Consider the following 20,796-nt stretch of genomic DNA (forward strand, 5'->3'; position numbering starts at 1 on the left):
GGACATCAGGCTCCACTGGGCTTATGTTTCCTCCTGGGAATAATTGGCTGAGCTGGGTAGCAGCTGACCCCTTTACATCAGACTCTTCTGCCTTGTTTGCCCCAGCCCTCACCACTCCCTATTGTACCTCCAACACCAAAGACAAGAATCAAAGGCCACTTTTCACCCCCTTCCTGGTCCACTCCATTCACTCATGGTATCCACGTAGCCCTGTGAGCAGGGGTTTGTGACTCTGCCACTAAGCTATATGGCTTCATGGATGGATGGATGAGGGGAGGGAAAGACAGAAGGATGGGAAGGGCTGGGGAGATTTCAGCTGCCTGCTCAGGAAGTACCTATGGACAATGCCCAGCATCCTACAGCCAGCTCACCAACCCCTAACTGTGCTGCAGGACTGCAGGATGCCTGTCCTGACAAGTTGGCCTGCTCATCCTCTTCCCCCGAAACCCAGGCCCTGAGAGTCCCCAGCAGCATGAAGGCCTCACCCTTCGTGCAGCGATCCATCGGTCACCACCTAGGGCAGAGCAGGCCCACCTTTGATGCAGAAGAAATGAGATGAGGCGGGCAAGTGCCTGCCAGTGCCCAGTACAAGGTGGGAAGTCAGGGAATCGTGAGCATCAGAGAGGCCACGTGAGCAGTTGCCATGCTGGCCCCTGATGCTGGGGTGGGAGGGGCCCAGGCATCCAGGAGCAGAGAAGGGTGTGGGGTGGGAGACGGGGGAAGACGGAGAGAGGAGGCATCCTGGGGTGGGATGCGCGTACAGGAGGACGGGGTGGGGAGGAATGAGGAAGGAAGAGCCAAGGCCTGAAAGGGGCCATGCGGGAAGCTGGAGTCTGCTGACCCCATCTCCATGCCCAAGATGGAACAGACAGGGCTGGGGTGACCAAGGGACTTACAGGAAGGTCTAGTGTCCATTTCCACCCATAGGGGAAGGAAGATTTGGAAGTCTGCCCAAAGATTAATGCTGGAACCACATCTTAGCCACAGAACAGGAGCTCCAGGGGTGCAGGAGGGGTGTTAGCCCCCATGGGGACGGAAGAGAAGCAGGGCAGGAAGGACATTGCTAGGTCAGTGTGGGTGGGGTGTGGGAGCTGAGGGATCTCACCTTTGACCTGACTAACTCCCAGGATGACCCTGGGAGACACTGGAGAAGTCCTGGTCTGAAAGCCAGGGCAGCATCATGGGCAGCCTCTGAGAGCCTCAGACCTGCCTGTCCCTGGTGCCTAGGTCACCAGCGAGGCCTAATTTGCAGTGGAGGCTGGTCATGGGGCTTGTGGCAACTTTCCCTTCAGCCTTTGAAGTCCCTGACATACTAATAATCTCCTGCAGAACTGGGCTGCAGCTGCTTTTCTTGCAGAAAGACAGGAGGCAGTTTGAGGAGGAACCTGCCCCTCCAGTCAAGGGCCAAAGCACCCTCCCGCTTCAGAGCCCCTGCAGCACCGTGGCCCGAGCCCACAGAGGGGTGCTGGGAGAGCAGAAGAAGATGGACTGGCCTGGGAGTGGGCAGCATGCCATGTGGAGGGCTCACCCTGGCAAGCTCAAAGGGCCCCTGATGTCAACCAGTCCCAGGGGACAGGCCCGGGGGCTCATCACAACGCAAGCACCAGCCAGACACCAGCGCATGAACTGACAAAGAGAATGTTGCTGCCGGGGGCCTGTCCCTCTCTCTGCAGCTGCCGCGTCCTCTCGCGGCAGGGGCATTGCCACAGGAAGCCAGAGGACCACTCGGAAGTTCTGGGTGACACCAACTCAGTGCAAAGGGCAATGGTTGGCCAAACTCCACGGCCCTTGTCCTGGAGCTATGTCCAGATGCTGACGCTCCCTCTCAGGGTTTCTTCACACGCTTCCTTCAGCTCCATTCCTCACATCCACCTAGATGGCAGGGTGTGACAAGGACAGTGTCTGCGGACTAGGCCTGTCACTCATGGTGTGTCTGTCACATCAGCTTTCTTGGGGGCGACCCATTCCTTGAGGCCGCCTCCCATAGAGCCACTCCGCACGCGTGGGGGTGTGGGCACGGCCTACCCTGCTGGCCACAGGACAGAGTGCTGGGCACATCTCCTCAGCCGCGCTCGCAGACAGCTGTCTTCCAAGTTCAGGGTGGGACGCAGGTCACTGGTCACCACCACTCGCCCAGCAGACAGGCTGAGCCTAGTTATGCAGCAGCACCAGCCAGTGAGGAGGAACACCTTTGAGAACATCCTGTCATGAACCCTCGCCCAAACGGACTTCCAGCCCCAGGGCATTTGGCCTCACTGCAACAGGATGCCAGGGGTGGATGCGGGGGCAGGGGCAGCAGGGTGGGGGGCACAACCCTGGGGGTTTGCACATCTTTTTGCTCTGCCTTTCTCACTGTCAGCTTCTGGGGCTGCCCGCTGGCCTTTCAGGCAGACATCCCACCCCCACCTCCACCCCCCACCCCACAGTGGCCCTGGGGGCACCAGAGATTGAGAGCCACTGGTTTAGGCATTAACCCTTCTGCTGGGATGTACCCTCCCTTCCTCGGACTCTGCCCTGTGCTCAGCCATGCGCTTCGGGCAGGTGGAGGCCTGGAGGGTCGACTGGCCACAGCCACCTTTCCCACTGCCCAACAGCAGGGTCCCACGACTGCGGCTGCATGCCCTCTTCACTTTCCTCCGGGGGCCTCCCAGACCCCCACTCTGTGTGCCAGCACTTAGTCCTGCCTAAAACAGCAACTCTTCCGGGGCGAGGGAGACTCAAGGCAGAAACAAGGTCTTCACAGCCCCTGGCTGTATCCGCTCTGGACCCCATCCCTCCTCCCTGGTTCCACCCAGGGCTAGGCTCTCCCATCTGCCCCGGCCACCCCAGAGACAGACGTTCAAGCTGAGGCATCAGGAGATTCAAGATGGCTTTTCTGGAGAGTTTCAGTTTGAAAGAGCAGCCTGCTCAAGAAAGTAAATCCCTAATAGTGGACTGTGGTGGTGGTGGTGGCATTTTCAATTTGATTATTGCTGGAACATAGGAAAGGCCTACATTAGCTTGTTGCTATTGTAACCTAGCCAGCATGCTAAATTCCTTCATTAATTTTAATCATTTGCCAAATAATGTTCTTGGGTATCCAAGTAGAAGGTTGTACCATCTGCTAATAAAACAATTTTCTTCCTTTCCAGTACCTATGCATTTTATCTCCATTTTGGGTCAAAGAAATATCTATTTTAAGAGGTACCAATGGGCATAGAGTAGAAGAACAGTCTCTTCTTCTCATCCCCCAATCACCCAGATTCTTTCCCTGGGAGTAGACACTGTGACCAGTTTCCTGTGAGCCCATCTGAAACCAAAAAAGAGCCCACATAGCTAAGACAATCCTAAGGAAAAAGAACAAAGCTGGAGGCATTACGCTACCTGACTTCAAACTATACTACAAGGCTATAGTAAACAAAACAGCATGGTGTGCTTTTCTCCCAATACTTTGATGTTAGGTTGTTAGATGAATAAAAGTTCATAATTGTTACATCATTATGAAATATTTTCTTTTTTCCTTTTGTTTTGCCTTGAATTCCATTTTTATGACATTATTAAACTTGTTACCTTTTTTGTTAGCATATATTTGATGTACCTTTTTTCCATCCTTTCGTTTTCAATTTTTCTGTCATTATTTCTTTGTATCTCAGAAATAGCATGTAGCTGCATTTTAGGGATTTCTTTTCCTCCTGATTTGTTGTTTTTCATGAGACAATTCAAACCATTCCCATTTATTGTGATTACTGACATGTCAAAGCTTGTTTCTGCCATATTGTTTTATATTTATTAATATATGTACCATGCTTTCTACTTTTCCCCACGGTTTTCCTTTTTTATCAATTGACCAGCTCTTCTTCATTTAATTTCTGATTAAGTGCTTACCTTTAAATTTTAACTCCAACATCTGTCCATTATTTTATTTTCCCTTATAGCCTGTGTAAGTGTAGTGCCCCTTGTCATTATGCTCGGCAAAGCACAAACCTTAGCCCACTTGGACTTCCTTCCTCTCCTTCTCCTCCCCACCTGCAATGTTAATACCACTTGAGCTTTTAGTTCCAGTTCCATTTAGACTTAGCAGCAAATTCTAATTCCTTTACTCACCACTGCTTCTTGAATCTGTAGCTTTCTCTTGGATTTATTTTCATTGTGTTGAAGTACCTCCTCCTACAGGTAGGATGGAAGGTGACTCATTTTCTCATCTGTGGATGTCTGAAATTGTCTTTACATATTTTACCTTCACACTTGAATGATGGCTTTAGCCGATTCAAACATGTGTCCCTTAGATCTCTAAAAATATTTCCCCTGGGTCTCTGAAGATCTTCCAACATGCAGTGTTGTAGCTAAATCTAATATTAGTCTGCTTTCTCTTAGGAGTAATCTGTTTTCCTTTTCTCCATCCTTCATGTTCTAAGTTTCAGCCCAGCCAGTCTATCATTTTCTGTTCTGCTTGTCATGAAGTGGGCCCCTTCAGGATGAGGACTTTTGTCTTTTGTAGACTTGAGAAATTTCCTTCTCTATTAATCTTAGCGTTCCCCACATCCAACCTCTCTAGTCCCTCTTTCTGGAGCTCCTATTTAAAAGGTATTAACATTTCTGAATCTAGTCTTCATATATCCTCACTTTTATTTTATGCTTTCTATCTCTTCTTTTTGCGGGGCATTCTAGATGAAGTCCTCAATTTGATTTTCCAGTTCACTAATATGCTATTATTGACCTACATCCAGTCTGATCATACTCCAAAAGCCCCTTTTTGAATATACCTTTGAGCGTCTTCTTTTTTATTTCTAAGGCCTCACACCGTTTCCTCTCACAGCTTTCTGAGATTAACTGTGCTTCGTCCGTGTGCTCTGCTTGCTGTTTATCTGGGTATCAGTCTGTTTCCTGTGCTCTGCGTCCCAGTCATGGCAGTGCTTTCCTCAGTGTTCAGCGGCTCTGGTGTGTGCTCGTCTTGTGTTTGAGGTTCTTTGTTACCCAGTCTATGGGTGATGCCTCCAGCCACGGTGTGGGAGAGATGACCGTGGGTGGAAAACAAGCTGGTGGACGTGGTGTGCCTGCATCCGAGGTCCGTTTGTCCAGAGTGTCACCTTGCCTCCCTAGGCTGGGCGTTCACACTGGCAGGAGGGAGACAGAGATCCCTGCTGCCTGCTATTTGGCTAAGTGGGAAAGGTGTGGTGGGAGGAGTAGATAGCTGGCTGGCTTTGTGGTTCCTACTGCAACATCCTAACCCACGACCTACCAGTCACCACCACCCCATTCACCATCTTCAAGCTTAAATTCCCTTCAAAACTGCCTATGACAGCAGGTCTCCCTATACGTATTTTGGGCAGTGGTTTCTTCCTTTCAACCCCACCAATTTCCTTCTTTCAATAATTCCTCGCAACTTTAAATCCACCGAGGCCCCTTCTCGTCTCCTAGAACATTTTTGGATGACATGTATTTATTTTTTCTGGTATTTCTAAGGGTTTGGGACAGGAAAAAGTGGTTGGGGTTCAGTCTGCCATTTTTAGCTAATTTCTAAATAGATTTTTCAAGTGCTCAGAGCAACCCTATGAGCTAGGTATTAGTAATAACTCTCAATTTACAAATGAGGAGACAAGCTTAGAGAAAAAAATACAAAATTTTCTCAAGATTTCACTGCCGGCAAAGAGCAGCACTACGTCCCTAACTCAACTCTGTTCAACACTAAGCCCACTGCCGTCCCATGCGGGTAAGTCGAATGCAAAGCTCTGCCCCGTGATTTTTCCAAAGCATCCAGAAAAAGCCTTACAACCTCCCGGGCTTCTGCTTCTGGAACACACTGGAGGACCACTGCAGCAGGCCATGTCTCCAAAACTCTCCCAATGATCACAGCCGCTAATTCCATTCACTCATGCACACACTCGTTAATGTAGTATACACAGAGCATAGCCTGTGCTACAGACACTGCCAGAACAAAACAGACATGGTCCCAGCTCTCGCGGAACTTCCTGTCTGCTAACAACCCCTCGTGTTACAGATGAAGACTCGAAAACCAGAAAGGAAAGGACTTGCCCAGGATCACACAGTCAGTTAGAGGCAGAGTTGCTGTCAGAATGCAGTCTCCTTACTCCCAGCCCAGTACCCCCCTTATCTTTTTATTTCTTATTAATATTTTATTTATAACTAATACATAATAGCCATACATGTTTATGGGGTACAGTGTGATGTTTCAATGCATATATACATTGTATCATGATCAAGTCAGGGTAATTACCATATCCATCACTTTAAACATTCATCTCCTGTCTTTTCTAAATAAGTAACACATGAACGTTATTGAAAAATTAGAAAATACAGGTGAACAATAAAGGAAGGGGTAAAAAATCACCCATAGCCCCATCTTGCAGAGGTCCAGGATGAACATTTTAGCATTTATCCTTCTAGACATTTTTCTATGCATACGTGTATTTTTTTCTCCTAACAATATTTTTAAGGTCTTACAACATTTGTTTTATCTTACAAAAATACAATAATATTATACACATACGATTTCTCCTTAAGATATACTGGGCAACTTTTACATATTTTAATGAAACATTTCATTTCATTCTCATTTATATAAAATCTATCCCCGTAACACATTTTTCTTGATTAAATGATTCACACAGAAAGTTTATGAATTTCAACTACATTAATAAAGATGAATGACACCATTTTCATAAAGAAAAAATAAATGGCATATGAAATAAGGTAATATACTGAGTATTACAAGTAGACCCACAGCTAGATGTTTTCTATAGCAAAAACTACATGGTTTAGGAAATTGGTCGCCAGAGTTTAGAATATATCCCCACTTTGACTTGAGTCCCTGTACCTATATTATTAATAAGCACTTATCTATCTTTTTTTAAAGCATATTGTGAAAAATGTTCCCAGGTCAACAAATACTGCTGTATCATTCTTAGTCGCTATACAATACCCTACTGTGTGGTTGTATTACACATCAATACCCTATTGTTGGAAATCAAGGCTGATTTCCAATTTTTCACATTTACAAATCAACCCTTCAGTTACTATTCTCATATCTCATAATACTAATCTTCAGCTAGCTTTGTCACCTGCATGATCTTTACCTCTTTATGTCTCAGAGTCCCCATCTGCAGAACAGGATTAAGTGGCCCAGACTGCACACCATGTTTGTCATTATTAAAGGAGAAAGGCCTGGTGAGGCTGCTGGTTCCAGCTGCTGTGTGATGGTGATAATGATGAGTTACCACTTGATGTCCTAGGAGTCCTAACCTGTATAAAAGAGAAAAAAATGAGGGCCCCTGGTCCACCTCAAACATTCCCCAAAGGATTAGCTTGAGTCTAGCACTAAGGGGATGTCACACACACAGCCATCTCCGTTGTAAGTGGACTTGAGGGTCACCAGCTTTCCACAGCCACCATCCTTCTGCTCCTCCAAAGGTCCTCTCACCTCTGCAGAGCACATGTAGACTGGTGAATTTCCAGGAGTGAGCAGTCAAGGGTAGTGGAGACAGAGGGTCAGTTGGATCCCTCAGCTCTGGAATGAACAGGAGTGACCAGAGCCAGGATCTTACAAGAGCTAGTTCTCCTGCTTCTAAGCCTTGCTATCCAGGAATTCTACATGTCAGACACAGCACAGCCTGCTGGCTGCTCTCAAAGAACCCAAATCAAGATCAATTCACAGGCTGGAAACGGTGGCCCATGCCTGTAATCCCAGCACCGGGAGGCTGAGGTGGGAGGATTGCTTGAGCCCAGGAGTTTGAGATCAGCCTGGGGAACATAGTGAGACCCTGTCTCTACAAAAATAAAATTAGCTAGGTGTAGTGGCACCGCCTGTAGCCCTACGCAGGAGGCTGGGGTGGGATTACTTGAGCCCAGGAGGTTGAGGCTACAGTGAGCCATGATCATTCCAGCCTGGGTCACAGAGTAAGACTCCATCTCAAAAAGAAAAAAAAATTCACAGAGGAGGTGAACATCAGAGCACATCCCTAATTTAAAGAAAAAGGCCCTTTTCCCACTTTTATTGCTTTCACTTCCTGTTCCTCTTTAGTGTGGAAACCAGGAGGGTCAGGAGAGAAAGTTCAGAGAGAGACAGGGACCCGCAGGGAAAGCACAGACAGGCCCATCACAGCCTTCTCACATCTCACAGTGGGCGGAGGAGAGACGAGGCCGACCCACAAGTGTTGCCTCTAATTCTTACTGAGAGCTCAATGTTGTCATTTCCATTTTAGAGAGCAGAAAGTTGTTCTAAGAGATCAACCACTAATATTAAAGCTAGTATTTAAGGAACGCTGTGTACCAGGAAGCTGTTAGACACACACAGGTCATTCTCGCTATGAGAACAGAGACTAGTGTTATTCCTGTTTTGCAGATGATTTAACTGAGACACAGGGAGACTCTGGAGTCAGGTCTGTGGCCTCTTAACCACTGAATCATACTCTCTTCCAAACCAGGCTTTGAAAGCAAAGGGCTACTGATTTCCTGGGCCTGCCCACCCGGTGCTCTCTCCTGGGCCGTCTGCCCCAGGGCCTTCCTGGCTCCTGATGCAGAGGAAACTTTCAAGGCTGGGGCTTCAGGGACCAACGCCTTCTTCTTCAAGGACTTTGAAGAAAAACTGGAAAGTGTGACAACCCTAAAAATTCATTCATTCATCCATTTGTTTATTTATTCACTTATTCAGCACAGATGCATTGAGCATTTACTCTGGCTGAGCCAAGCCCTGGAGCAGTGCTGGCAGCATGCAGATGAGGCAGGCACTGCCCTCTGATGAACAGTCCTTCAAGCCGCAAATCTCTGTCCCTCGGAATACTGAAGACATTGTTCCATTGCCTCCTATTGGCCATTGTTGCCATCTGATGTTACTTAAGTATGAAATAAAAAAAAAATTCTTTCAAATTCTGTGTATTACTTTTTTAAAACAACTACTAAATTGTTGTTTGGACCTAACTACTTAAATGGAACTATTAGGTGCTTCTTTTGGCCTAGGAAAAGCCATGAAAACATTTCTGAAACACTAAAGGCACCAAGAACCAAGAAAGCTTGGGAAACTCTGCTCTAAGATAAATTCCTACCATTGTATTTGCTGCAGCCGCGGCAGGTTTGTCTTTTTGTATATATACATGAATCCAACTGTCTTCTAGAAGAATTAAATTTAAATTTATAATCTAACAATCAGACAGAGAGAAAGGTTAAAAGTGACATTGATGTAGAGCCTCCAAATAGCTGATTTCTTTCCTCCAACAGACTTTCTTGTCACAAAGAAGCCAAAGACTTTCTTGGAATTATCATTTATTTCCATATATGCAAATTATGCATTTTTATTTTTCAAGTCTATGGACTTTTAGGGGGTTTTTTGAAAAGCACTGGGAGGGTTTTTTATAAGTATGCATCAACATGCCAACAATTGTTTCTCTCTGGATAAGGGATTTCCAGCAATTATTCCTTTTTTCTGTAGAACTTCCTGTATTACCTGAATTTACAATGTTCATAGTCAACCTTTTTATTCAGAAGAAATAAAAACCCATCTTGAGAGGAAGAAAAACTGAATATATTGGATTAAATTTGTACCCAACTTCCATTAATGAGAGCTTAGGACACTGTACTAAAATATCCACCTCCTGTCATCCTCCTTTTGAGAAATGAAACCCCTGGTCATAAAAATAGCCTTTGCTTGCAGTTAGAAGGGAGAGGATTAGAAGGAAAAAAAAAAGGAAAAGCAGAAGGAAAACTGCCTGTTAGCAAATCTAAATTCAGATGAATGTCTGAGGGGCTGAGAGATGGTGCTGGGCCAGAACCAGCTCCCTCAAGTTCCCAAGACCTCTGTGGGGCCAAGAGGGGCTGGGGACTTCATGCAAGGTGCTGATTTCAGAGGCAGCTGTGATTAATTTTAGAAGGCCCTGACATTCTAACTGAGTCATCCTGAGGTGGCCCGATTGGAACTAATTGGGTGAGCCCATTTCAAGCTGGCTGTCTTCTCAAGTGTCCCAACCCTCTGGGGTTCTTCCAGCTCCTGGAATTGGAAGGTCTTGATCCTGTCAGCAAGTGCCATCTCACCAACAAGGAGGGCCAGGGTCTGCCCACCCAGAGTGACAGGACCACCTCAAAACATGCAAAGAGGGTCCTGGCAGCTCTGTGTCCATGGGCAACTCAAAGACAGCCAGGATGATCACTCCTGGGAAGCTGACTCCAGTCTTTCCCATTACACCAGCAACTATAAAGCACTTACTGTATACAAACACCATGCAGCAACCATTCCCAAAACTAATTATTCATATTCCCTACAGAGCTTATTAAAAATATAAATGCCTGGGACCAGCCCTGGGCAGGGGCCCCTGGGGGTTTGTCAGGTAGGCCAGGTCTGGGAGCCACCATTGTGCCGCACCCAGAGCTGAGTGGCATGCAGACCCTGCCCTCAAGGTGCTGGCAGTCTGCTGAGAGCCGGGGCTGTGGTCACAGGAAAGGGACTGTGCTGGCTGATGGTCCCGGCCACGTGTTCCACTCCTAGGCCCCATGAACACATGGCTGCCAACAGGGTGGTCTCCAGAGGAAACTGGGGTCGTTGTTATGGCAAAGAGGATGCTGCGCAGGCACAAGTAGTGACTGTCGTCCTCAGCCTGATCTCCCAGGAGTTTAACATCCCGAACAGCTCCCACGGCACAGAATCAGGGAAGTACCAGGCACCAATACCGTCGCCGGTGCACCCAGCCCCACTCGCACTCCTCTACCAGGCATCCCTCTTGCGAGGGTTTGCGCCTCCCCTCCACCAGGTAGTCTGACCCGCCTCCTGAGCTCAGCAATTGGTTCAGAGGAGAGCACCTGACTCAGGTAGGGCCAATTAGAGCCCTTCCCAGGGATTTTTCAACTCGGGAGCCAGGAGGAAGCCCATTAGGCGTCCAATACAAGAGGAGGCAAACCAGCTTCTACAGCCATCTCCTTGGCTGTATGGAAAAGCCCAGTGTGCCATGGAAGAGAAGGCAACATCCAGGCCACAGGGGAGATGGTGTGCTGGTAGCAGTGAGTTCCTGGTTCCATCACCCTGGCTACTACCCAGGTTTGGCTTGGGTTTCTGTCACTTGCAACCAAAGATTTGTAACTAATACTTACGTGTACATCAGGTTGTCCAAAAAGAGGATGGGTAGACTGGAGAGGAAATGCTGGGGCCAGAGCCCTTCCTCACAGCCCAACAAACCTGCTTCTCAAAGGGTGCTGACCAGTTCATCAGCCTAATTCAGGTTTAGTCATTCAAAAAATTCAACCAGGGAGGTTTGGTTAAGTCAAGGTATGCTTCCTGGAGGAGGGGAATTTAAGGCTGGATTTTGAAGGGAGAGACCACAAGGCACTCCCAAGCAGTACTGCAGATGGAGGAGCTCTATTCCAGGAAAGGCTGTAAATACTTCCTGACTCGCAGAAAGATCTTCAGAGACACACATACTGTCCTCTCGCTATTCTTAGCAGCATGTCATGCAGGGAGGGCCCAGGATCCCTGTGGCTGCACGTCCTGGGGGAAAGATGAGCTGGCCCCTCAGCCTGCTTAGTTCCTGAGCTTAGCAAGTGAGCCCGGCTCACACTGCAGCCGGGGATTAAAGCCGAGGGGCTCCAGGAAGCCTCTTCTGAGAGTGCCGGAGTTGGAAGTGCGTCCAGCCAACAGGCCTCTTTAATTCCAAGGGTCTGGGCTGAGGCATCCTGACAGCTCGGGGGACCCCGGCCCCCAAGGGCTGCATAGCAGTAGAAAGTTTACCCTCATCTTGATAACTTTGCCTAGACTTCTGGACTCACCTCTGTCCCAGCATGGGACATGCAGATTGACAGGGCCATCCACAGGGTCAGAGTTTCCTGGAGTTTCAAGTTTTCTCCTAAAGATATTCACATGTATTGTTTAACAGCTTAAGACATCATTCTCATACCATACAATTCATCCATTTAAAGTGTACAATTCAATGGCTTTTAGTGTATTCACACAATTGTGCAACCACCACCACAATCAATTTTATAACATTTTCATTACTCCAAAAAGAAACCACCTCCAATTGCTCCATCCCCAATACCCCTCCCAATCGCTCCATCCCCTGTAGCTCCAGATCTGTTTTGTATCTCTATAGATGGCACTATTCTGGATATTTCATATAAATTGAACCACATAGGATAGGTAGATTTTTTTTTTCTTTCTTTTTTTTTTTTAGATGGAATTTTGCTCTTGTTGCCCAGGCTGGAGTGCAATGGCGTGATCTCAGCTCACTGCAACCTCCGCCTCCCGGATTTAAGCAATTTTCCTGCCTCAGCCTCCCGAGTAGCTGGGATTACAGGCATGCACCACCACGCCCGGCTAATTTTGTATTTTTAGTAGAGACAGGGTTTCTCCATGTTGTTCAGGCTGGTCTCAAACTCCCAACCTCTGGTGATCCGCCTGCCTCAGCTTCTCAAAGTGCTGGGATTACAGGCGTGAGCCACCACACCCGTCCTGATAGCTAGACTTTAAAAAGCAGATAATAACAAGTGTTGATGAGGATTTGGAGAAATTGAAGCCCTCTTACACTGTCGGTGGAAACATAAAATGGTGCAGCCGCTTTAGAAGAGTCTGGCAGTTTCTCGAGAAATTAGTTATTTTACCCAGCAATTTCACGCTTAGGCATGCCCCCAAGAGAAATGAAAGCATGCCCAGACAAAAACCTTTACATGAATGTTCATAGTACCATTATTTATATTAGTCAAGAGTTGATAACAACCCAATATCCATCAACTGATGAATGGATAAACAAAATGTGGTATATTCATACAAGGAATATTATTTAGCCATAAAAATGCACTGATTCATACAACAACATGGATGAACCTTGAAAACATTATGTATTTATGATTTTTGTTATAATTTCTTTCTTCCTTCTCCTTGCTTTTTGTTTGGTTTGCTCTTCTTTTTCCAGTGTCTTATGATGGAAGATTAGGTTGTTGATTTGAGATCTTTCATGTTTTTTAACATAGGTGCTTACAGCTATAAATTTCTTCCTAAGCACTGCTTTATCTGTTTCCCATAAGTTTTGGTATACTGTATCTTTATTTCATTTATCTCAAGGTATTTCTAATTTATCTTGTAATTACTTCTTTGAGCCATTGATTAAATAATCAATGTCTCTATAGATTGCACTTATTTCTTATTGCTTATTTGAGCATATATGGTTAATTTCTACATATTTCTGCATTTCTCAAATTCATTTGTTATTGATTTTAATTTTATTTTGTTTGGGGGAGAAAATATACTTTGTATTATTTAAAAGTATTTCTACATAGATTTCTAATTATTGCTTTATGCAATTGTCTTTCAGATGAGATGGGGAAAAAAGAATTACTAGCAATATACACTTATACTGTCTTTTATATTTACCTATGTAGTTACTTTTACCAATGCTCCTTATTTCTTCATATAGATTCAAGTTACTGTCTAGTGTTTCTTTTATTTTAGCCTGAGAGACTCCCATTAATATCTTTTGCAGGGCAGCTCTCCCAGTGATGAATTCCCTGTGTTTATCTGGGAATGTCTTCATCTCCTCTCATTTTTAAGGAATAGTTTTGCTGAATATATAGTTCTTGTTTAACAGGTTTTTTTTTTCGTTTTACCATTTTGCATATATCATCCCATTGCTTCCTGGTTTCCATGGTTTCTTATGAGAAATCAGCTTTTAATGTTATGAGAATCCCTTGCACATGATGAGTCATTTCTCTCTCACCATTTTCAAGATTTTTCCCTTTGTTTTTTAACAACTTGATCATGATTTGTTTAGCTGTGGTTCACTCTGAATTTTTTCTAAAGTTGGTTGCGCATTTGGGATGTATAGACAATTATTCATCAAATGTTGGAATTTTTCACCCAATATTTCTTCATATATTTTTCCTGCCCTTTTCCCTCTATCCCACTGCGCATACATTGGTGTGTTTATTGGTGCCCATAGGTCTCGGTCTCTGGGGCTCTGTTTCTTTTTCTTTTTCTTTTCTTTTTTTTTTTTTTTTTTTTTTTTGAGATGGAGTTTCGCTCTTGTTGCCCAGGCTGGAGTGCAATGGCCTGATTTTGGCTCACCACAACCTCTGCCTCCTGGGTTCAAGCAATTCTCCTGCCTCAGTCTCCCAAATAGCTGGGATTACAGGCGTGCGCCACCACACCTGGCTAATTTTTGTATTTTTAGTAGAGACAGGGTTTCTCCATGTTGGTCAGGCCGGTCTCGAACTCCCGACCTCAGGTGATACGCCCACCTCAACCTCCCAAAGTGCTGGGATTATAGGAGTGAGCCACCGCACCTGGCAGGGGCTCTGTTTATTTTTCTTCATTCTTTTTTCTTTCTATGTTTCAGACTAGATAATCTCAACTGACATATATTCAAGTGCATTGATTTTTTTTCTGTCTGCTCAAATCTGCTGTTGAGGCCTTCTGATGGAATTTTCTTCTTAGTTATTGTACTTTTTGACTCCATAACTTCTATTTGGTTTTATATCTATAGAACCAAGTATATATAATATATATGTAAATAATATATATATGTATAAAAAATATAATTATATATAATATATAACCAAATATGTATAAAATGCATATTTTTGTATATATAATCCTTTGAACATATTTAAAGTAGCTGATTTAAAGTCTTTGTCTAGTAAGTCCAACATCTGGGCTTTCTCAGGAACAGTTTCTATTGATTGTTTTTTTCCCATGAATGGCCCATACTTTCTTATTTCTTTCCATGCTCTTATTTTTTGTTGAAAACTAGACATTTTAAATAATATATTATGGCAGCTCTGAAAATCAAATTATCTCTCCAAGGTTTATGGTTTTTGTTGTTTTTTGTAGTTGTTTTCATTTTGTTTGTTTAGTGTTTTGGGGGTTTTTGTTCGTTTGTTTCTTTTTTGAAATGATGTCTCACTCCTGCCCAGGCTGGAGTGCAGTGGCATGACCTCAGCTCACTGAAAACTCCAGGTTCAAGCAATTCTTGTGCCTCAGCCTCCCGAGTAGCCAGGATTACAGGTATGTGCCACCACACCTGGCTAATTTTTGTATTTTTAGTAGAGACAGGGTTTCACCATGTTAGCAAGGCTGATCTTGTACTCCTAACAACAGGTGATCTGCCCACCTCAACCTCCCAAAGTGCTGGGATTATAGATATGAGCCACTGCACCCAGCCTATTTAGTGTATTTTTTTTAACTAATTCTGCATAGTCTGTATTCTTTGTTGTATGTAGCAATGAAGTCTCTGCTCATTTAGCCTAGTGATCAGTTAATGATTGAACAGAGACTTCCTAAAAACATCTGAAACAAATAAGTCTCCCAGTCTTTGCTGGGGGGCTCTTTGTGTACATTAGGCGTGCCTGCAACCCTCAGCCAGGCAGTTTACAACTCTGCCTTAGCCTTCACTTCCTGATTGCACAGAGTCTCAGGGGAGCCAGAGATGAGAGCTTAGGACCTTCTCAGGTTTTTTTCAGGTCAATCCTGGGCATGCTCACAGCCTTACACAAGAACATGACCTTCTTGATTCCCAGGAATATTTCAGAGCTTTTCAATGCCCCCTGTAGATATCCTATTCCCCAACTTTTCATTTTAAGCTTTTTGGTTGGTCTGTTATTTGCCCCAGCTGTTTTCTACTCCCTCAGGCATCCATGAAGTTAATCAATTTGGCTGTAATTGTTTCTGATAAATGGCCCTGGAAAAGAGCTTTTCACACTGTGTAAGTTCAGAGTCAGGTCAAATACAGACAACCTTACAAAGGGGGATCTTCCAGAGAATCACCAGACAGGTCAAATAATGACAGCTCTCTGGTAATGGGCCTTTAACGAGCTCCAGGCCAATTCTGTTCCCTTAGGTGGCTGCCACCATGCTAATTTTCACTGTTAGTGTACGCTTTAATTTTTCAAGGTTACCATGGGGATGGGACTAGGATAAATTAAAATGTCACAAAGCTTTTTTTCTTACCAGGATTCTGCCACTTTTCTTAAATATTAACACTACTTGGATTGTTGCAATTTAATTTCCAAAGTTCAAAAAAAAATTGGCTCTGATAATTTTTGTCAATTTTCTCATTGCTTTTATGGAGAGACTTTTCAGAGGTCCTAACTCTGCCACTTCCTTTTTTTTTTAAATAGACAGAGTCTCAGTCTTGTCAGGCTGGGGTGTAGTGGTGCAATTATGGCTCACTGAAGCCTTGACCTCCCAAATGCAAGCAATCCTCCCGCCTCAGCCCCCTGAGTACCTGAAACTACAGGTACATACCACTATCCCTGGCAACTTTTTTTTTTTTTTTTTTTTTTACCAGAGATGGGGTAACCCCTACCAGAGACAGGGTCTCACTATGTTGCCCAGGCTGGTCTCTAACTCTTGTGGGATGAAGTGATTCTTCTGGCTCGGCCTCTCAAAATGCTGAGATTACAGGCATGAACCACTGTGCCCAGCCCTAACTCTGCCACTTTCACCAACATCCACTTTGTATTTTGCATTCTACTCCACAGTATATCCGAGCACATTCACATAACCTAATTCGGTTTACATTATTTAGCATGCAATGAAATCAACTCTCTAGAAAGATACGCTAAGTCTATTCTGGGGCTTCACACTCCCAGCATACTCCCAAGTAGTTCAGCTCATTATAACTTTCTAATTATGTGTTGTCTTCTCCACATCCTGTACCTCCCGGGTGCAGGAATAAGTAAGTATCCTTCATTTCTGTCAACTGTGGCTGGCACAGAACTGAGGAAATCAGGTGGGTGTAAATGTGGAACCAAAATGAGTGGCCCAACTTCTTATTTATCTAAATGTCCCAACATGGAGCAGGACATGCCAATAACACCTGGGGAAAATGCCCAGATAACTTCACTAGACTGAGTTCAATACTCATTTCTCAGCTCTGATGTAAACCTCAGTCATTCCCAAACCGCGTATTTTCTGCCATAGGCTGTAAGAGATTTCCTGATGGGAATCGCCATCTTGAAAATATGGGTTAGAAGCCTCAGATGCTAAGAGAGACATTGCTTTCCAAATGAATAGAAAGTAGACTAGAGAGTGGCTGTTTCCATGGACGTTTCCTTCACAGATTTTTACAGTTTTTTTCTCTGAACTCAAATAGCAGTTGCTAAAAAGAGTAATCTGAACAGTGACTGTCAATGGCATGCCACAGTCCCACCAGGGCACATATAAATACATATAAATGTCTGTATAAGATTAAAGTCGACTGGGCACGGTGGCTCACACCTGTAATCCCAGCACTTTGGGAGGCCGAGGCAGGTGGATCACCTGAGGTCAGCAGTTTCCTGACCAACATGGTGAAACCCCATCTTGTCTCTATTGAAAATACAAAATTAGCTTGGCATGGTGACACATGCTTGTAATCCCAGCTAAGTGGGAGGCTGAAGCAGGAGGATCACTTGAACCTAGGAGGCGAAGGTTGCAGTGAGCTGAGATCATGCCATTGCACTCCAGCCTGGGCAACGAGCAAAACCACATCTCAAAAAAAAACACATCCCAACATTTTGGGAGGCTGAGGCGGGTGGATCACCTGAGGTCAGGAGTTTGAGACTAGCTTGGCCAACATGGTGAAACCCTGTCTCTACTAAAAATACAAAAGTTAGTCAGACGTGGTGGCAGGCGCCTGTAATCCCAGCTACATGGGAGGCTGAGGCTGCAGAATCTCTTGAACCCAGGAGGCGGAGATTGCAGTGAGCCGAGATCACACCATTGCACTCCAGCCTGGGCGACAAGGGCAAAACGCCATCTCAAAAAAAAAAAAAGATTATAAAGTCAGCAAGAGGTGATCTTTTATGTTCAGCCTTGATGCTGTTGTTGAACACACACACACACAGAGAGAGAGAGAGAGAGAGAGAGTTCTTTTGCCAGTTAGTTCAAATGCATGGGTGATGATTATTTGTGATTAAGATACCGCAGTTTCTTGGCCACTGTAATGGACATTTGATATTTAGAGACCACCCAGTCAAGGGAGCGCCCTTCCTGTCTATCTGGTGGGAGTCTTGCTTTACTTGGTGAGAGCCAGGCTTTGCCTACTACTATGTGGCTGGAGGAAACCAGGCACTCTTCCTCCTCATGCCCTGGTAGCCAGAGGAGGTCGCATGACTCAAGCTTGGCTGGCCTGGTGTTTCTGCCACAATCACAGAGCTGGTGAGATCATCTATCCCAGCAGAGGCTCTGAGGATCCAGGGGGGTGCAGGGGGTGTTAATTGGAAATGGAGCCAGCCGACCAGCCCCCTCCAGATGGCCTCTAGGACAGGGCCTGTGTAGTCCTCAGGCCCATGGGCCACCCTGGGTTCCTGCACACTTTACTGACTGGCTCCCCCGCCCATCCCTGCACCCTACTCCCCGCCCCAGTACTCTCCAAACCAACCCAGCTCTCTTCAGGCAGCCAGGGTCAGGTATGGCTGCATTCCTTCCTCAGGCCCCTGGCCATTTCCTATTTTTCTTATGAACAGTCTAAGGACCAAGAGCCCGCTGGCATAGGATGTGTGATCCTGAGTTTAAGCAAGAGTGGAGTTTCAAGTTTTTGGAGATGGTGGGCTCACCGTAAGTTTCTGTAACACCCACCAAGTGCACACGTGGGGCCTCTGGATTCCAGAAGCTTTTTCATAGTTCCCCAGTGCTGTGTGGCCAGCCCCTGTTTGTACTGATTCCTTACATCCTCCTCCACAGCTCAGATCTCAGAGCCTTGCCTTGAAGCATCCTGGAAACCCTAACCCACTTGATGATCACTGTCCTGCTAAGTGAGTGACCCTGGGGTCTCAGTGGGAACCCCGGCATAGGGCAGGCCTGGGTGCAGCTCTGCAGGCTGATCGTGAGGTTCTCCAGAGGCCAAAGAAGCTGATGGCAGGTGGGCAGTGAGGCCAAGGAGCTGAGTCCTGGGGGCTTCACTAGGAACCTGGAGGAGCTTCCAGTGGTTTCTCCTGTGGGTGGAGGTGGGACGAGAGACGTTCCTAAAGAGAGAGGTCTAGAGAACACAGCTGTCAGCAAGGTCCCAGGTAAAGGGCACATGCCTCTGCATGTTTAATTTTCATATTCCCAAATAACAGCTTTTCTCTCTTTTTTTTTTTTTTTTTTTTGAGATGAAGTCTCATTCTGTTGCCAGGCTGGAGTGCAGTGGCGTAATCTCAGCTCACTGAAACCTCCACCTCCAGGGTTCGAGCAACTCCCCTGCCTCAGCCTCCTGAGTAGCTGGGACTACAAGCACACGCCACCATGACTAGCTGATTTTTTTGTATTTTAGTAGAGACGGGATTTCCAGATGTCGGCCAGGGTGGTCTCAATCTCCTGACCTTGTGATCTGCCCAACCCGGCCTCCCAAAATGCTGGGATTACAGGCATGAGCCATCGCACCCAGCCTCACTCCAGTTCTTTTAATAGGAAGTAAAGCAACAGTTCTCCCACCCCATGCCAAGAAATTCTGTAACCCCTTGTCCAGTCACTACTGTGATTGATTCCAAATGAGAAACACTGCCAGGAAGACCAAGCACTGCACCGAATACCTCCAACACTCACGGGTTAGGGTTTAGAGGCCTTGAGAAGACAGGGATTGAACATTCTGCATGAAAAACTGTAGAAATCTTATCTGAAACCCCAACATAGAAAAAAAAATGGAAAGAGCAACAAGACACTCAAATATATTTGATGAGTTCCATATGAAGTTATTCTACCAGTTCAATTTGTAATGTGCTGCTAAGGGGGTGGGACCCTGGAGGCCCTCAGTGGGAGATCAACCATGTGAACGTCTGACCATAGAAACTGTGCAATAAAAAAGCTGTCTTGGTTTAAGCTGCAGAGTCTTGGGTTAATTTGTTATGCCACAATAGATAACTAACAGGATATCCTCAGCTGTGATCTTCATGCAAAAGTTATTTTCTTTCTAATTTCTTCCATTGCCAAATTAATATATGTGCTTTAAAAACATTTTAAAAGGAAAGAAAAACTAAAATCACCAATTTTGTCACCATTCAAATGTCATTGTGTTAATAATTTGATCTGTTTCTTGTTTACTTTTTCCTCTATTGAGGGTTTGTTGTTGTTGTTGTTGTTGTTGTTGTTGTTTGTTTTTGCCATAGTTGTAGTCAGTCATTCTGTATACATAACATTTTTCTGTTTTGTTTTTACTTAACGTTTTTGGGTTTTAATATTTCTTAATTTTATTCTGAATGTGCACATGAAGTCCTCTGGATCTGAGACAGACTCCTCCCCATTGACCTTACAGTAAATCATAAGCCTAGGGCCCCTCCTTGCTCCAGTCCATGCTTGTGGGAGAGGCAGTGAGAGCCAAATGGAAACTCTCCACGAGCAACTGGACACTCCTTAGGGGAGGACTGAGAGCAACGGGCTGTGGCCAGTTACACCCAGGAGAGACACTGGGGGCCCTCTCTCCTGAAAGAAGGGAAGACATGCTTGCTTTTTGGAGAGTGCATGGCTAGAATCCTGAATTCTCACTCTGCTCTTTGGAATGTAAAGACATTTCTCTAGGGACCAAATAACCTAGAGCTAGTTTTCCCCTTGATATGCAAACACATAACTCCAGAGTGAGGTAAACCTCTCTAGAGTTCTTCACTATCTTTATAATTGTAAATTAACTTTTAAGGCTTGATCATAACCCAGTGTTCTGGACTGTACATCTGTGTCCTCCCCAGATCCATATGTTGAAGCCCTAAACCCCAGTGTGATGGTACTAGGAGACAAGGACTGTGGGAAGTGATTGGGATTAGATAAGGTCGTGAGGGTGGGATTAATCCTCATGATGGGATTAATGGCCTTATAAGAAGAGACACCAAAGAACCTGCTTGCTCCTTCTCTTCACCATGCAAAAACACAGTGAGAAG

General features: G+C 45.3%; 2 annotated features.

Annotated features, from left to right (window-relative positions):
- Window positions 135–636: an enhancer, noted in NCBI's record as "H3K4me1 hESC enhancer chr2:127893553-127894054 (GRCh37/hg19 assembly coordinates)". NCBI's record gives its function as "activates a minimal SCP1, AML or CMV promoter by ChIP-STARR-seq in naive H9 embryonic stem cells {active_cell/tissue: H9 hESC(naive)}" and the evidence as "EXISTENCE:reporter gene assay evidence [ECO:0000049][PMID:30033119]".
- Window positions 637–1,136: an enhancer, noted in NCBI's record as "H3K4me1 hESC enhancer chr2:127894055-127894554 (GRCh37/hg19 assembly coordinates)". NCBI's record gives its function as "activates a minimal SCP1, AML or CMV promoter by ChIP-STARR-seq in naive H9 embryonic stem cells {active_cell/tissue: H9 hESC(naive)}" and the evidence as "EXISTENCE:reporter gene assay evidence [ECO:0000049][PMID:30033119]".

Source organism: Homo sapiens, chromosome 2, assembly GCF_000001405.40.
Source record: "Homo sapiens chromosome 2, GRCh38.p14 Primary Assembly".
NCBI lineage: Eukaryota > Metazoa > Chordata > Mammalia > Primates > Hominidae > Homo > Homo sapiens.